The following is an 18,965-nucleotide window of genomic DNA, read 5'->3' as shown; positions in this document are numbered from 1 at the left end:
GAGGAGAAGAGGCGTTCAGGTTTTTGGAATTTTCAGCCTTTTTGTGCTGGTTTTTCCTCATCTTCAGGGATTTATCTACCTTTGGTCTTTGATGTTGGTGACTTTTGGATGGGGTCTCTGAGTGGACGTCCTTTTTCTTGGTGTGATGCTATTTCTAAGTTTTCCTTCTAACAGTCAGGCCCCTCTGCTGCAGGTCTGCTGGAGTTTGCTGGAGGCCCACTCCAGACCCTGTTTGCCTGGCTATCACCAGCAGAGTCTGCAGAACAGCAAAGATTGCTCCCTGTTCATTCCTCTGGAAGCTTCATCCCAGAGGGGCACCCACCAGATGCCAGCTAGAGCTCTCCTGTATGAAGTGTCTGTCGACCCCTGCTGGGAGGTGTCTCCCAGTCAGGAGGCACGGGGGTCAGTGACCCATTTGAGAAGGCAGTCTGTCCATCAGCAGAGCTCCCCCACTGTGCTGGGAGATCTGCTGCTCTCTTCAGTGCCGGCAGGCAGGAATGTTTAAATGTGCTGTACTACACCCATAGCTACCCCTTCCCCACCAGGTGCTCTGTCCCAGGGAGATGGGAGTTTTATCTATAAGCTTGCTGCCTTTCTTTCAGAGATGTCCTGCCCAGAGAGGAGGAATCTAGAGAGGCAGTCTGGCTACAGAGGCTTTGCTGAGCTGTGGTGGGCTTTGCCCAGTTTGAACTTCCCCACAGCTTTGTTTACACTGTAGGGGGAAAACCACCTACTCAAGCCTCAGTAATGGTGGACGCCCCTCCCCTCCACCAAGCTTGAGCATCCCAGGTCGACCTCAGACTGCTGTGCTGGCAATGAGAATTTCAAGCCAGTTTATCTTAGATTACTGGGATCCATGGGGTTGGGATCCGCTGAGCTAGACCACTTGGCTCCCTGGCTTCAGCCCCCTTTCCAGGGGACTGAATGGTTCTGTCTCGCTGGTGTTTCAGGCACCACTGGGGTATAAAAACAAAACAAAACAAAACAAAAAACTCATGCAGCTAGCTTGGTGTCTGCCCAAATGGTTGCCCAGTTTTGTGGTTGAAACCCAGGGCCCTGGTGGTGTAGGCACCCGAGGGAACCTCCTGGTCTGTGGGTTGCGAAAACAGTGGGAAAAGCATAGTAGCTGGGCTGGAACGCACTATCCCTCACGGCACAGACCCTCAAGGCTTTCCTTGGCTAGGGGAGGGAGTTCTTCAACCCCTTGAGCTTCCCAGATGAGACAATGCCCTACCTTGTTTTGGCTCGCCCTCCATGGGCTGCACCCACTGTCTAACCCAATGAGATGTCCCAACGAGATGAGCCAGGTACCTCAGTTGGAAATGCAGAAATCACCTGCCTTCTACGTTGATCTCGCTAAGAGCTGCAGACCAGAGTTGTTCGTATTCGGCCATCTTGCCAGCCACAATAAAAAAGTTTTTGTTTTTTTAAACTTTGTATTTCTTTATAGGTATCTATTGGAAACAGAAATCCAGAAAAATGAATTCAGACTTTTATAGGTACCTACTGGGGGCAGGTATATCTATTAGGATACCTTCATAGGTATTCTGGATTCCTTTTTCAATGCTGCCCATTCAAGTCAGAACTTATGGCCCACAGAAAATGGAATAAATAAGTCCACAACAGGCGGTGTACATACTCACTATTGTCTCCTTTGCCTGACTAATAGAAACAGAATATCCATTTCTTGAACCTTATAGGTGGCCATAATTATGTAAGCCTGACATTCATTTTTGAATGTTTGTCTAAGGACTCCAGAAAAGTGGAATTAGGCGAAACAGTAGAGTTTTAAAGTTCCCATTTCTGACATTTACCATCTGGAATGTAGTTTACAATGTTATCTGTCTTTTCCTCTGATGTACTTCCTGCTTGAAGGAGGATGAGAGAGGGGACTCAGAAAAAGGACTTGATAAGGCCTCAAATTTATTGTCAGAATCAGAAGGAATGTTCCTTTTTCCCAAAGTGTAAAAAGTGAGAACTCTCACTTTACCTTGTTTTCTACTCTTCATGTAAACTTAAATACCAGAAAAGGAGAAAATGTTCGCTAACAAATATACTGTTATTTTCTATTCTGGCAAACATAGTTTCATTTTCCATGTAATCCTTACATCTTTGGTTTCTCCCTTTTTTATTTAGAATTTTTTTTCTGGAAAAGAATGAAATAATTCTATTTGACTCTCTTAGTGGCAGGGACTGTGCCACATTCTTCTCTATAACCATTGCACAAAGAACAGTAGCTAATTCAGAGAAAGTTCTCAATATATACTAGTTGAATGAATAAATATATGAATGATATGTATTCTTTAAAAGATGTTTTATATGTATTTCTCAAAAATTATAATGTCATTTTTGATATCATTAAAGTTAGGATGCTAGTATTCCTAATTTTATAGGGAGAATTTCTCTATGATTCCTCCTAGAGAATTAATACCAGATTTGTTATTCATGCTTTTACAAGTATGAGGAGTGTTGAAACTGAAAAATTACCCTTTGTGTAAATAAAATATTTAAAAATTCCTATCTAGAGTGTGATGCTGTTTAATAAATACATATTGATAACACACTTAGAGTCCCTTGCATTCAAAGTGCTATAGAACTGGTCATCACTCCTGTTGAATTTGGGGGTGGGGAGAATCATGTATAAAGCAATATTTATAACTGGTTCACTATTAAGGAAAGGCTTCTTGAACACACATTTCAGTCTGCATTCAAAGGTTTTCACTTGTCTCCATTCCTTAACTATTTTTGTTTCCTTGTTTTTTATTTTTCCTGTAAAAGGAAAGAGATACTGATTTAAGACAATATGACTTTTTTTGTTGTTTTTGTTGCTTAAAGTGAATACTTTTTTTTGAGTGAAGAATCTATTGTGTACTTGAGTTTGTGCTTGGAAAGAAACAAAACCTTTGTAATCAAAGGCAAAGACAGCACATTTAAGCTTTTAATGCTTGCATCTTGATGATTTCATTATTGACTTCTATTAAGCTCTCTCTGGGCTAAGAACCAAACTCCCCCCACAGCTCTACAAAGCTGCATTGCTGAATCTATTTGCTATTAAGTTTAAATCCTCATTTCTCCCCATGACACGCTTATTGGCTTGGGATGATTTCCTCCTGGTCCTATGGAGACATCTGCAGATGCCGTATTAAGTTTCTAATTCTCCATCTTCTCCACTTTCTCCAACAATACTTTGCTGAATTTCATCACCCACATATTTCTCTCTCTTTCTCAATCTCTCTCTCTCTTCCTGTCCCTTTTCTCTGCTAATTCACTCACTTTCCCCCTGGACCTGACGACCATTGTCAGAACCAAATTCTTCTTGCAAGGTGAGCTTAACCATCAGAAGTAAAGTAACGAGGTTATGATTAAAAGTACACCTTGATAGTGGAGTATCCATCAACCTGTCATAGAAATCTTATCTCTGGTGCTAGTCTCATCAATCTGACCTTTCAATTACTATCCCCAGTTCATGACTCTAAGTATATATAACTCAGAGATGGAGTATGAGATACACAACTCTTTTTTTGTTACCTATAACACTTGGTACAATTGGATGTCTCTTTTGTAGAATCTGTATTCTCCCTTTAAGTGCATTTTGTTACGGTCAAACCTGGTCAGTTTTACTTTGACTTGTGTATTAAGATGACTTGAGCTGCTCTAATATACAGACTCTTCAATATCAGAGGCTTAACTCAATAAGATAGTGTTTCTACTCAGGTAACAGTCAATGATGATATCCCTAGTTGGCAAGTGGCAGAAGATTCAGGGACTCAGGTGTCTTCCATCTTGCAGATCTGCCCCTCCCCAGAGACTAGGAGGATTCTGTATTCAGTCAGGAAATCAGAACAGAAAATGTGGAGATGGCTAAACTACTTCTTAAAGTCAGCTCTGCTCTCATGCGATGCACATCACTTCCCCTTATGTTAATGAGAATTACTCACATGACCTCGGCAGCTGGATAAACGGGGAGCTAGCAAATATCGTCTCAGGATAGCCTTATTTCACTCACAATTTATTACTATGTATTAGTCCATTTTCATACTGTTATAAAGAACTGCCATGACTAGGTAATTTATAAAGGAAAGAGGTTTAATTAATTCACAGTTCAGGGTGGCTAGAGAGGCCTCAGGAAACTTACCATCATGGCAGAAGGTGAAGGGGAATCAAGACACCTTCTTCACAAGATGGCAGGAAGGAGAAGTGGTGAGTGAAGGGGGAAGACCCTTATAAAACCACTAAATCTTGTGATAACTCACTCACTATCATGAGAGCAGCATGGGGGAAACCACCTCTATGATTCAATTACCTCCACCTGGTCTTTCCCTTGACATGTGGGGATTATGGGAATTATGGGGATTACAATTCAAGATGAGATTTGGGTGGGGACACAAAGCCTAACCATACCACTGTGGAAGGAAGAGCAAAAATCTTTGGTGGGCTGCTAGCGACAACTTCTTTAGTAATTCAAGTGTATTTCTAAAAATATCTTTCATGCTAATTTTAATCCCAGATGATATTTTTTATTAAATTTTAATTTATAGATGCATTCTGTTTCTTCAGATGCACACTTCAGAAGAAAATTTTTCTTGAGCTTGTGATGATGATACATATGAATGGAGGACATTCTACATGTCAATATAGAACACAATTACAGGTTCCAGATATTCAGGTTACAAGCTGATAAATCAATTTGATTGGTGCGAAGCACCTATGCCTGACTTAAACTCAATCTAATGGCATTTATTAAGTGCCTTTCTGTGCACAAATAAAACAGAGTCAGCCATTATGTACAAAATCCACCTACAGCTTATTAACAATATTTCAAAAGGATTTGGATCCTTCACTCATGTATACAGTAAAGACTACGTATCACTTACACATCTCAGTGACTTTCTAATTTAGTCTAGAAGAGAGAGCTATGGGAAAAAACACCGCCCTGGGTGTCAGCACCCCAGTCCTGGCCTCTATAATTCACACTCACTCTGTGGCCAGGATGTTTCTGTCTCCGTTTTCTTCTCAGTCAAGCAATAAAATTGGACCAGAGAAGTAAGTTCTTAGGTTTTTCCCACTGCTAATATTGACTGAGTAGCCTTATCCAAAATGCTTGGAACCAGAAGTGTTTTGGATTGTGGACTGTTTTTTTTGGGGGGAATGAGAACCACCTATAAACACAACATTTATTTATATTTTATATATACCTTATATATACAGCATGAAGATAATTGTATACAATATTTTAGATAATTCTATCCATGAAACAAAGTTTGTGAAAATGTAACCATCAGAAAGCAAAGACGTCACTATGTCATGATCTCAGTCACCCATGTGAATGACCTGTTATTGTTTGACATGATCATTATTCCTGACTCTAAATTTATTTGCTATCAATAAGCAATTATTTTCTTATACTTATTCACACATAAGTGAATTAGCACAGAAGTGGGAGGGTCTTTTTTCTCTTGGGGATTCTGAATAAACTATTTGTCGCACTCCTGTGGTTTGACTGCAACCCATCACATGAGATCAGGTGTAGAATTTTCCACTTGTGACATCATGTCCGTGCTCAAAAAGTTTCAGATTTTGGAGCTTTTGAATTTCAGATAGTTTTGGATTAGGGATGCTCAACCTGGAGCCCATGCTTCTCTATCCCTCTGTGTCAACAGTTATTCTTCCAAAATCAAAGAGAAAGAAGCAAAAAGAACATTTTTATAGTTAACGTATGATTTGACTAATTTGGTAGTCTTCAGAAGTAGCAGACTGGTCTCTTTTTCTTAAAGCCTGATAATAATAATACTACATCTAGTAAACTGAGAAATTTACTTTTTCAAAAGTTTAAGAATATTTACAAAATCAATCTATTACTTCACAAACCATCAAATACTTAATATTCAGAATTTCGTACAGACAGTATGGACCAATATTGTTGCAAAGAGATCCAACATATTTGTCATCTTGTGCTCAAAAAGTGGTCTGCAGGCTCACCTGTGCAGAACAGCAATTGAAAACCACTACATTCAGACTTCAGTGTGCAAATACACACATACATTCTGCCTAAGGATTGGGTATGCCGCTAATGGATCGAATCTGTTATTGTGTCTGACCACCAGCTGCCCAACGTAGCAATTAGTTCTATAAAATGCCTAATTTTTCATAGAGAATTAAACATGGTAACAGCTTTCAGCCAGATGTGTAGTTGTCTTAAAAGAATAGGTGAGGAGAAGAGAAGAGGCCAAACAATACTGATGGAAAACAAGCAATAATTCCAAGTAAGATTAGAATTTTTGCCTTAGATGAGGGGAAGCAATGCCCAGGAGACCATAGGATGAGTTCTAGAAGTGGAGAGAACTTCTGTATTGACTCACAAGGGAGACTGATAATCTAAGAACCAGCCAATTTCTATCCTTCTGGGCTCTTTCACTACTGTAGGTTTTATCTTATATTTTGAACAGTACTTGGAAAGTTCTTAGGAGGATTGCAGACTAATCACATATTTTTCTTTGAATAATGCTTATTGAGATATCCTGATAAAAGACGAGGGGCATAAAAATGATTTACCAATTTAGGTGGCTTGAAATATAATGAACCCTGAAGAGTTTTCAAATAATGCTAACTACATGTTTATTCTAAATGAGGAAAGAGAGAAATATCTTTGTTGATTAGCATAGGACTAGGAGAAGGTTATGGTTATGGATACTAAACCAGAGAGTTTTTCTCTTGCTGCTAAAGCCAAACACAGTAAAGCCAAAGGAGCTATGCAATGCTTAATAATACCAATAGGCATTGTTAAAGAAGCCTCTCTTATGTACAGGTCCTATAATGGTTCTCTATATACTCACCCATGAAGTTGTTATAATATCTCTAAAATGTATATTTTACAAAGAAATCGAGACTCATAGCATTGTGAAAATTTTCCAAGGTCAAAAATTTGAACCCATGTTTAAAGCTCATACTCTTATCATAAAGCTCTATGCTTTTCCTAGCACCCTTTTGGTCCTTCTTTTGTTTCTTTCAAGAAAATTGCTTTTCTCTTGTGTAAACAAGAATCAGAGGAGAAAGGATTACAGAGAACACTTAGAGAGTTAACTAAGACTTTGAAGAATATAAAATCAATATTTGTAACTAATATACCCGCACATTGGCAGTTAAGATCTTTTGACCCTAAAATGATTGGGGCAGCTTTGTGAAATGTAAGCATCTTAGAGTCATATCAAAACGAAAAGACTTTCCCTTGCAAACTAGAAATTGGGAATGAGCGAAAGAAATGGTTAGCTAATTTTTGAAGAATTAGGACAAAGAAAAAGTTAAATAAAGTAGTGTTTGCTAATAGTTGGGGATAGATACCTAACTCTAGAAAATACTTCTTATTTTCTTATACTTGCTCTAAGTTGCATATACCTTCCCACTAGTAATAAGCAAATATTTATGGTACTTTTAAATGATTTGTTTTAGAGAGAAACCGTAGTTTTCCAAGAGTCCTATATTTCATTTTTTTCATTGCTATTTGTGCCTGAAAAAAATGCAACATTAACATAGTTGAGTGTCTTTGTCAATCTTGTAACAGATACACAATTTATAAACATCAGGTTTATAAAGAGATAACCTTAAGTTTTTGTTTTGCAAACCTAAATCTATACAACTACAGAGAAGTGTGCCATTAAATTCTGTAGGTTCCATCACATCATAGGAATTTCTCTATTTCATTGAATTCCATAATTTTAAAATTCTAGGGACTAAACGAGCTTAGAGCTCATTGAGTGCAGTGATTTTAAACTTTTTTCTTTTCCCATTTTTGCACTCATACGAAAAAATTGTTATATTAAAATCCCCCCAACAGGATAAATTTAATACTAAACAATATGATTTTACTAGGCAGAGTTGACTTTTTAAGGGTCATCAATGTAATAAACTTTTTTTAATCCCTCAAGAACCAGTTTCTGTCTGCGTGGGGGTGATATAGCCTTCACTGAGAATGCACCGTCTAGTCTAATAGTTTCATTCTACAAATAAGGAAATGGAGCCTTCACAGGAAAGCAAAAATAGCCACACAGCAACCAGATGTCAGGACCAAAGTATAGGGATTGGTGTTCTCATGTCAGAATTCTTCCCCAGCTCTGCTCTGCTTCCTGATCTTGAGACTGAGGGGCAGGTCTGAATCGGCATCATATGCTAAGATGGGCTCTGAACTCCTCTACTGGCACCCACCTACCACATGAACAGGTATGGAGTGGGACAGGCACAGTGAGCCCTTATTTTCAGCCTGATTTTCTCCCATAGACTTGTGGAGTACAGAAGGCTTTGTGAGCAGCAGTCCCTGGACCAACACCTGCTGGGTTCAGATCACACTCACTTTGAAATTCAGAACCAGCGGCCATTTTACTCTGGGTTTCTCAGACAAATAATTTGAGAAATCAATATCTATTGTTGACAGCAAGAGTAGTTCTGAAAACCAATTGCCTGCCCACTCTCATGCAATAAGCACTCAGAGAAGCCATGTTTCTAATAAAAAAAAGAATTGAATTTTCTTTGCTGTAGAGCTGATCATTGAAAGCATTTCCTCCTTTAGAGAACTTGGCTGAATGGATTTTACCAGTGGCATCCCTCAGAATCAGAGCTGAGTAGAGGCAAACTGGTGCAGAAGCATTTCCTGTGTCTCTATTTATGTGTTCAGGGATTCCAGTACGTTCTTAGGATGAAGCACTTAGAACTGGAAGAAAAGCAAAGAAGGTAGCATTTCTGAGGCATGATAAACAAGGCTGGTACCTAAAGTATTATGGTTGTGGCTGAGAACTATCATGTAGAGTGGTGGGGTGTTGAAAAGTAAACTATTTAGATGTCACACTTAGTAATTTATTTAAATGTTATTGCTGTTCTGCAACTCCCAGTGGAGTTTCCCTCTTTTCCTCTCACATTTTTAATATCAAATAACTTTGAACAGCCCATATACAAATTTTATAAAATGAAAATTTTGCAAAGAAACCTTAGGATTTTTCATGTGCTAACTGGTAGCAGTAGCTCCAGGGTACTGAAACATTGGTGAGAGCTTCTGTCCTTGCCTAGCATATTGGTCACTAGATGCTGGTGGATGGAAGGAGATCTTGCCCCATGCCTGAGTGTAAGGATATTCAAGGACTTGTACTTACCTATATTGGGATAAAGGAGGAAAGACAAAGCAAACAGAAAAGAGGAGAGGATTCATCTTCTGATGTTTGAGGTTCTATTAGTGATGTCATCTGTGTGGGTTTTGGAAATGCAGATGGGCAAGAGTTACCCATATTGTCCTAAGCAAGATGAAAACTTTATTTTACTTGCGTACCAATTAAGAAAGAATGACTGAGTTGTGCCTCCAATTTAAAAATCAGTATTTTCCTTTTTAGAGGATTTCCTCTCATAGTACTAAGGAACTCTTCTTTACCCTCTGATTTTAGATATGAAATACTTTTTAATGATGTTCCACTTAACACATATTGTGAGCAATCTGCTTGTTTGTTAAACTCCTGTGACTTCATTTTCTAAATAATTGCGTGTCTGTTTTAAAGATGCTGGTAGAAAAAAGTGTACTCCTCAGATGTCTAGAATCCTCTATCATACTCCTCATGATCCTTGCAGATGATGTGCTGATTTATTGATTCCCTCAGCCCCCAGGTGGCTATCATGCATGGCAGGGGAAGTCAGAGAATTCGAGCCATTTTCTTACAGGCTCATGTGTGTCTTATAGGTACTATCATTGTCTCTGTGCTTTATGATCTGTGAAAGGCTTGGAAGCCCTGGCCTAGACCACTGTAGCTACACAGTTTTCTGTTACCATCAAAATTTAAGGATAGCAGTTCAGTTTGTTCCAAGAACAAATTGGCTGGTCACAAGTAGGATGGTGGGGCCGAGAGGATGATGACTACATTTATTGTCTTTCATAAATCCAATCCTGTGCTGGAAAAAAAATATTTTTTGAGACAGGATCTTGCTGTGTCACCCAGGCTGGAGTACAGTGGTGATCACAGCTCACTGCAGCCTGGACCTTGAGGCTCAATGATCCTCCCAGCTTCAGCCTCCTCAGTAACTGGGACTACAGGTGTGCATCACCACACCCAGCTAATTTTTAATATTTTGTAAAGACAGGATCTCCCTATGTTGCCCAGGCTGGTCTCGATCTCCTGAGCTCAAGTGATCCTCCTGCCTCCCTCCCAAAGTGCTGAGATTATAGGTGTGAGTCACCACACCCAGCCTGGAAAATTTACATGCAGGGTTTAAGGCAATCCCTATCAACTGTATGATACCTATATGATTATAATTATGTTAACATAGAAAATAGAGGTTCTAGGAGTCTGATTCTTTTGTTGCTCAAATCCACCCAACTAGTAGAGAGAAGAAAATTAGCTCAAACTCAGTTCTGCCAGCATTCTAAAGGCCATGCTCAAAAAACAAACTAGCAGTAGTAGGATAAATGTATCTTCCAAGGCCCTTCACCTACTCCTCCATCTGATTGCAAGCTCTGTGAGGGTCGGGCTAGGGCTAAGTCCTTTTTGAATCTCCCAGGATATACAGGGCATCTGGTAATGAGTGGTACAATTGGAAAGAGAATATAAACTTCAACATTTTGTTTTTTTAAAAAAGCAAAATCAGTAAGTATAGAGTAGAATTTATAGGCCAGGAAAAAGCAGTGATTATTTTACACAACACAAAAACAGTCTAAAATTCATTATTAATATTTTTAAAAATAGATTCAATTAATTGTAAAACACAATTAATTCGCAAATTCAGAGGAGGGCATTTCATAAAATAAGGTGCAACTGTGTTTCTACCTTTTGTCTTGGAAGAATGACTGAGGTCTAGACTAGTGTTCCATATATAAAGTGTAAATCAAGATGCAAAGAGGATAGCTGTTAGAATCCCATGCAGCATAAGAAATAGGCTCCACTCTGTGGTAAGGTCAACTCTGTGTAGGGTCTTTGGCCGAGAATTTGAGGTCCAGTAGCAAAAAGGATTGAAATCTAAAACAATGGAGAAAATGCATAGGAAAAATGTACATGTTCAATAAAAAACCAGAAAACTTGGAACATTAGTTAACCTCTGGATAAGTCCATTCTAAAACAAATGAAGAAGAAGTAGAACTTAGAAGAGTATATGTCAAAAGTGTACTTTTTATTGAGAGAAACCTAAGACTTAATGATATTGTTCATTAAGGTGCTAGAATTCATAGTTAGAATCTAGAGGAAAAAGTGAAAGTCAAGTTAGAAAAGTCTCTGCACAGTCCTAACCTTTGAACATGATATCTCAGGTGAAATACTCTGTTCTTTGTTCCACTACCAGAGTAGAAAAGTAATGCTCGGTGGACCGCTAGTCACTGGGAAGTGTTTTCTGAGGTTGAAGTCAACCTTGGTTTTTTTTCTATACGCCAGCATGTACACATACTCTACACACACACATACACACATAGACAATGACAAAGAGCAACAACTTCTCACACTCACATTACCTGATATTTTAGGATAGCTATTGAGGAAGCTCCAATATGATAGAAAATCAAGCAAGAGTGAACATAATCACTCAACATTCTCCTGAAGGCCAGAGCAGCAGCAGTGGGGGATTTTATGCTAATAGCACCCATAATCCCATGCTAATTTATTTTATCAAATTAAAGCAAATGCTGCTTTTTGACCCCATGGGCCTTCCATTATTTTTTCTGGGTCCCCACGGTAAGCTAGAATCCATTTAGTAGAAGGGTTTGCCAAGCATATAAATTAATAAAACAGGATTAAAGGGAGACATGGTTATAACCGATTCCTTAATCCCAGTGAATAATTAATGATTGTGATTCATGACTTGGCTGAATTCTTTTTGCATGTGAATAATGAATAGCTTTAAAATAAACTTTCAGTGAAAACCAACCGAGGCAAACTTCTCGCTACTGAAGCTTTTCTTGTAGGCATCAATGTTACTAAGGCAGAATCTCAAGAAGCCTTCTAGGTCTTTATGCTTTTCAGTTCATATTTCAGGGTGAAAGACTAATTCCACTATCCACAAAAATCTCTTACATTTAATTATAAAAATATATATTTTGAAATTTTGCAACAATTATAAGGTAGAAGCCTAGTATTAGATTTAGGTTCTAGTTCAACAAAAGTAATTATTAATAATAATATAATAGTGTCAAGACCCCAAGTCCAAGGTTGATTCTCCCTCATACATTTATTCAAAATAAAATAAGTAATTGTACTTAGAGGCAACTGTATTCAAACACTAGTCTAGGAACTAGAGAAAAACAATGTGTTCGAAAAACACAAACTCTGTCCTTTACTTTGCCAACAAAATGTAATCTGTATGACATTCTTATAATGGTGTAAATAAACTCAAGTAAAATAGATTGTTTCTATAATGGCTGTATCATTTTTGTCCATTACTAAATAAATTCATTTGTATAAAGCGACTGCTTGAGTCTTGGTTACCAAGCAGTGTTGTTTCTTCCATTGGTTCCCCATCGTTCCCAGAATATTGCCTTGCTCTTTTCCCTGGGTATTTATTAGCTACATGTGACATCAGAGGAACAAATAGAATGTCACACGAGATTGATTCATGCACATTCTCCTTCTTCCAGTGCACACCACCTGTTTCTTGTGTCCTCAAACTTTCTAATATATATTCTAGTTCTACAAAGAGAAAACTACATTTAAATATTCTGCACTACTAGTTTGCAAAAACTATTTGTAACACCAGTTTTCTGTCATAAATAATATAAGCTACCTACCCACAAACATGATTTTTAAAAAATCAGTATAATTTCCTAAATGCAATATATAAAGGAGAAGTCAAAGGAAATTAATGTGTAATAACACATTATGTACTTTGATAAAGAAATGCTTAGGAATGCTAAACTAGAAATCATAATTAAGTCATTGAAGCTTGCATCCGTATGTAGATTTACTGTGAATATGACAGCTACGGACGCAAACTATAACATGGGTGGTGTATGGAATACTTAACACCATGAGCAGTTTTTCCCACAATGATGTAATTTCCTAAAATGGTTACCATGATTATGTAAAGTTTCAAGCAAAATGAAGCAAACTCTTTCCTCAACTGACATAGAAGTTATCACTCTAGAAAACTCAGTGTATACTAAAATCATACAAAAACACATAATATTTTACACGTAACATAGGTTTAAAACTCAGGCTATTTAAAGCAGAAGTTTCACCTACATGAATGTAATGTAGGACACAAAACTCTCATTCTTTATTGTGCCACAGATTCAGGCCCCTACTCACTACATGACAGTCATTCTCCACACTCACTGTGTCAACCAAAAAAGCTCCCACACATTTATAAAACATCTTCTGGAAAGCAGTATCATCAGTATCATCTCGTTAATGGCAACTGGTGGAGATATTTGTAACTAATCTACTTGAGAATTTGTGAAGTAGAAACTTTTTCTTTGAAAAATTTGATCAAAGACTTAATGCTTGCAATTGGAGAATCAAATATGTTATTATTTCCATACCTGGGCTAAATATTATGGCCAAATTTACGGTGTGATGAACAAAGGAAACTGGGTCTTTGAAGAGTTCAGTTTAGCTGCCATTTTATTCTATATTCCACAATGTACCACATCTGAATTAAAGAATGGAAATATTGGCCTTTTACAAACTTTCAGGAAAGGAACCATTTATTTATTGACTTGTCAAATATTTATGAAGACTGCTTTGTTTGTGATGCTGTAGAAGATTAAAGAAGTAAAACAGGTGCTTCCAAGTCTCATGGGGTTTATCTCATGGGGAGATAAAGTAGACATAAAATGTATTTTTTTACAAAAAAATCTCCTGCTCCTCTAAAAATGCCACATTTTTTTAAATTTCTGTTTTTATTTATTTATTTAATTTAGAGACAGGGTGTGTTAGTTTGTTCGCACGCTGCTATGAAGAAATACCTGAGACTGGATAATTTATAAGTAAAAGAGGTTTAATTGACTCACAGTTCTACATGGCTGGGGAAGCCTCAGGAAACTTACAATCATGGTGGGAGTCACCTCTTCACAGGGTAGCAGGAGAGAGAATGAGTGCAAGCAGGGGAAATGCCAGACGCTTATAAAACCATCAGATCTCATGAGACTCACTCACTATCACAAGAACAGCACGCCGGGAACCACTCCCATGATCCAATTACCTCCACCTTGTCTCACTCTTGACATGTGGAGATTATGGGGATTACAATTCAAGGTGAGATTTGGGTGGGGACACAGATCCAAACCATATCACAGGGTCTTACTCTGTCACCCACGCTGGAGTACAGGGACACAATCATAACTCACTGCAGCCTCAAACTCCTGAGTTCCAATGATCCTCCCACCTCAGCCTCCAGAGTAGCTGGGAGTACAGATGCATGCCACCACACCCAGCTATTTTTTAATTTTTTCAGGGATGTGGTCTTGCTTTGTTGCCCAGGCAGGTTTCAAATTCCTAGTTTTAAACATTTCTCCCACCTCGTGCTTGGATTTAAGGCATCAGCCACCACACCTGGCCTAAAATTTCACAAATTCTAATATGAATCCAAACCCAACAGCAGTTGCTATTAACATTTTTCCAAGTAAACTGCTCCATGAACAATAATTTTGTACCTAAATTTTTATTCTTAGTCTTCCCCTCATCCCATGTATACATTATATAGAAAAGCTCAAAGCTGGTTCCAGCATTTGCAGATGCCCAAATGGGGTCCTAATCTATATAAATAATTTGATTTTAAAATGTATTATAAAATGTATGTATCCATGCAAGGTACACTGATTTATTAATGAAGTTTTAGGATAATGAGCAGAAAAGAGGTAATTAAATGTTTATTTTCCAATGAATGCATGAGAAGATTACCTGTATAATCCAGGTACCATATTTTCCTGTTTGTGTCTAAGGACTATCTCTTTGTATTCTTTATTGCCAAGTGTGCCATTTTTGAGTAATTTCATATCTCTCACCATGAGAAAAAAGTGAGAAATATGAATCTTTGCTTTTTTTATTGACAAAATATAGGTCTTCTTGCCTGTACACTTCCCAATGCCATTTGTTTAATGCTGGTGACCTCATTATTCATGACGTTGCATCATCAGTTGTGCCACCTGTGAATACTGTCTTTCTGTGACTCTCTCTCATTGATGGCGACCATAAATGCAAACCTCGTTCAGGACATGGAGGAAATTGTGTATAATAATTTTTTAAAATTTACTATTTAGAATTGTATAACATAAAACATATCTTACAACCGTTAGACCTAAAACCATAAAAACCCTAGAAGAAAACCTAGGCATTACCATTCAGGACATAGGCATGGGCAAGGACTTCATGTCTAAAACACCAAAAGCAATGAAAACAAAAGCCAAAATTGACAAATGGGATCTAATTAAACTAAAGAGCTTCTGCACAGCAAAAGAAACTACCATCAGAGTGAACAGGCAACCCACAAAATGGGAGAAAATTTTCGCAACCTACTCATCTGACAAAGGGTTAATATCCAGAATCCACAATGAACTCAAACAAATTTACAAGAAAAAAACAAACAACCCCATTAAAAAGTGTGCAAAGGACATGAACAGACACTTCTCAAAGAGACATTTATGCAGCCAAAAAACACATGAAAAATTGCTCCCCATCACTGGCCATCAGAGAAATGCAAATCAAAACCACAATGAGATATCATCTCACACCAGTTAGAATGGCAATCATTAAAAAGTCAGGAAACAACAGACGCTGGAGAGGATGTGGAGAAATAGGAACACTTATACACTGTTGGTGGGACTGTAAACTAGTTCAACCATTGTGGAAGTCAGTGTGGCGATTCCTCAGGGATCTAGAACTAGAAATACCATTTGACCCAGCCATCCCATTACTGGGTATATGCCCAAAGGACTATAAATCATGCTGCTATAAAGACACATGCACACGTATGTTTATTGCGGCTCTATTCACAATAGCAAAGACTTGGAACCAACCCAAATGTCCAACAATGATAGACTGGATTAAGAAAATGTGGCACATATACACCATGGAATACTATGCAGCCATAAAAAATGATGAGTTCATGTCCTTTGTAGGGACATGGATGAAATTGGAAACCATCATTCTCAGTAAACTATCGCAAGAACAAAAAACCAAACACCGCATATTCTCACTCATAGGTGGGAATTGAACAATGAGAACACGTGGACACAGGAAGGGGAACATCACACTCTGGGGACTGTTGTGGGGTGGGGGTAGGGGGGAGGGATAGCATTGGGAGATATATCTAATGCTAGATGATGAGTTAGTGGGTGCAGCGCACCAGCATGGCACATGTATACATATGTGACTAACGTGCACATTGTGCACATGTACCCTAAAACTTAAAGTATAATTAAAAAAATAAAAATAAACAACCATGTCTTCTCTTGCACACTTTAGGCAGACACCACTGCATTCTTAGAATGTACTCTCTTTCAATATTGACTGTACCTCTGCTTTCTACCCATCACCATCAATGTGAAGAACAGATGAGAAGAAAAAAAAGTGGCATATTTGCTCATTAAATGTCCACTCCTTGCCACTGTGGTATACTGAATAATGACCCCAAAATATAGCAAGATCCTAATCCCTGGAACCTGTCAGTGGCACCTTACATGGCAAAAGAAACTTGGCAGATATAATTAAGTTATGAATTTCAAGATAAGGATATTATCCTGGTTTATCAAGGTAGGCCCTAAATGCAATCACAAGTGTTCTCACAAGAAGAGGCAGAGGGAGATTTGACACAAAAAAGGAGATGACAGTGTGGCCATGGAGGGAAAGACTGGAAGATGTAGCCACAAACAAAGGAATTCTGACCACCACCAGTAGCTGCAGAAGTGAAAGAAGAAATTCTCCCCTAGAGCTTCTGTAGGCAGCGTGGGCCTGCTGAGACCTTGATTTCAGCCTAGTGAAACTGATTTTGGACTTCTGGCCTCCAGAACTGTGAGAGATTAAATTTCTGTTGTTCCGTGCCATCAGTCAAGTTTGTGGTAACTTGTTATAGCAGTCGTAGACAATACTTTCAATGGGCTTAAGACAGACCAAGGAGAACAGATCATTACTTCATTGATTTTAGGCAAGATAATACAATGATTAGAAAGACTCATTAGAATTATGGATCAACCATCTTGAAATCTCTTGGAGAACATATGTACAACCACCCATGGAGTATTGCCTGATACGTAGCGAAAACACTGCAGGGGTAGTGCTAGTGGTAAGGGGCACATAGAATAAAAGATGTCTACCACCATCTTCTCCCTATAGCTGTGGAGATTAGAGGCAGCCCTGCTGCCAGAACACAAAGGGGCCGGAGCTGATGCAAATGCCCTCATATGCAGTTGAAGCTCAATGGTCAGAGTGAGGCAGGACACATAGTCAAGGAAGAAACCCTGTCCTTGGAACATGGCAACTGTGGTGACCAAAGTAAGCCCCAGCATTCACATTGCAGTCCAGCTCATTCAAGAAAAGCTATCTCTAGTAGGAAATTTCCCATATAGAATGCATGCACATTTTGATTTTACCTGTCCTCAGACTGACCTTTTGCTCATTAAAATAGTAAAAAACACACCCCTGGGTGGAGATTTAAGATGCTAATGAGACATGCACTGTATGAACAAGCATATACAGCTACTGTGCATGTGCACCCAGAGGGCCCCCCAGAACGTGCTTACTAGTAACACCTCTTCCCACCCCCTTAGGAATAATGTAAGACTCCCATAAAGGGGATTCCCCATAAAGAAAGCCTCCCTAGTGCCAGTCTTTGCTGTCTCATCCTTACAAGGAGCCCGCCCTGAACTCTCTCTCTCTCAGGGCATACTTTTTATTCTGCATCTAATTTTCAAAATATCCTTTTTCTTTTGCAATAAATTACTTCATGCTCTATCTCCTTTGCTCTGTGTTTCTTGTTTAAATTCTTTTAAACTAAAAAAACCAAAACCGAGGTCCCACAACAGCCATCAACAAGAGATGAACAACTGGTAGCCCAGATCCCTGAGCTCATCTTGTTTCCCATGTGAGTGAACTGATCTTGTTTCCCACGTGAGTGTGCGCCACCCAAAATCAGTGTGTCAACACCATTCTAGAAACCGAATCCTGTACAATACTGTACAATACTCATTTTCCAGAGAGAATGACCCAGGCCATTCTCCTGAAATGAGTTCCAAACAGGAGACCCTAATACAATCCCCTAGACATGAGTCCTGGAGATTCTTGAGATATCCAGCCAACACAATATATGGAGTAAAGGGTTAGAGGGTGCCCCAAATGGGAGAAAAGTGGTCCAGAATTCATTCAGTTTCTAGTCTGAATTTAGGGCACCTCGCATGGGAGCACTGATGGCCCTAGTTGGTCTCAGCCACTGAAAGTGGACTTAGAAACTTTTTTTTTTTTTTTGAGATAGAGTTTCATTCTTGTTGCCCAGGCTGGAGCGCAATGGCGCGATCTTGGCTCACTGCAACGTCTGCCTCCCGGGTTCACGTGATTCTCCTGCCTCAGCCTCCCGAGTAGCTGGGATTACAGGCACACACCACCACGCTTGGCTAATTTTTGTATTTTTAGTAGAGACGGGGTTTCACCATATTGGCCGGGCTGGTCTTGAACTCCTGACCTTGTGATCCATCTGCCTCGGCCTCCCAAAGTGCTGAGATTACAGGTGTGAGCCACCGCTCCCGGCCAGACTTAGAAATTTTTGAGGTTGACATGTCAACGCTCCAGAGATCAAGTCCCTGAGGTGCAGGGTTTAGGGCAGGCACTCTGTTTGTTTATGTCTAAGGATATGGAAGAATTCATTAGTATCCTAAAGAAGTAAAGTATACTGCTATGGGAAAATATATATTTTAAATTTCTAGTGGAACTTCCAGTCTTTCTTTTCAAGAAAATTGAAAATGAATGTGCCCACAGCATGATTCCTTTAGAACAGCCTAATTCAATTTGAATCTTCAGTCTGTGGAT

General features: G+C 38.8%; 1 annotated feature.

Annotated features, from left to right (window-relative positions):
* Positions 358-527: an enhancer, noted in NCBI's record as "experimental_629 CRE fragment used in MPRA reporter constructs". NCBI's record gives its function as "activates a minimal promoter by MPRAs in K562 erythroleukemia cells, with activity observed for both the introgressed and non-introgressed 1:163922428 variant alleles {active_cell/tissue: K562}" and the evidence as "EXISTENCE:reporter gene assay evidence [ECO:0000049][PMID:34662402]".

The sequence above is a fragment of the Homo sapiens genome, chromosome 1 (genome assembly GCF_000001405.40).
Source record: "Homo sapiens chromosome 1, GRCh38.p14 Primary Assembly".
Lineage (NCBI taxonomy): Eukaryota > Metazoa > Chordata > Mammalia > Primates > Hominidae > Homo > Homo sapiens.
Note: the sequence above shows the minus strand (reverse complement) of the source record. Positions and strands in the feature narration are given on the sequence as shown.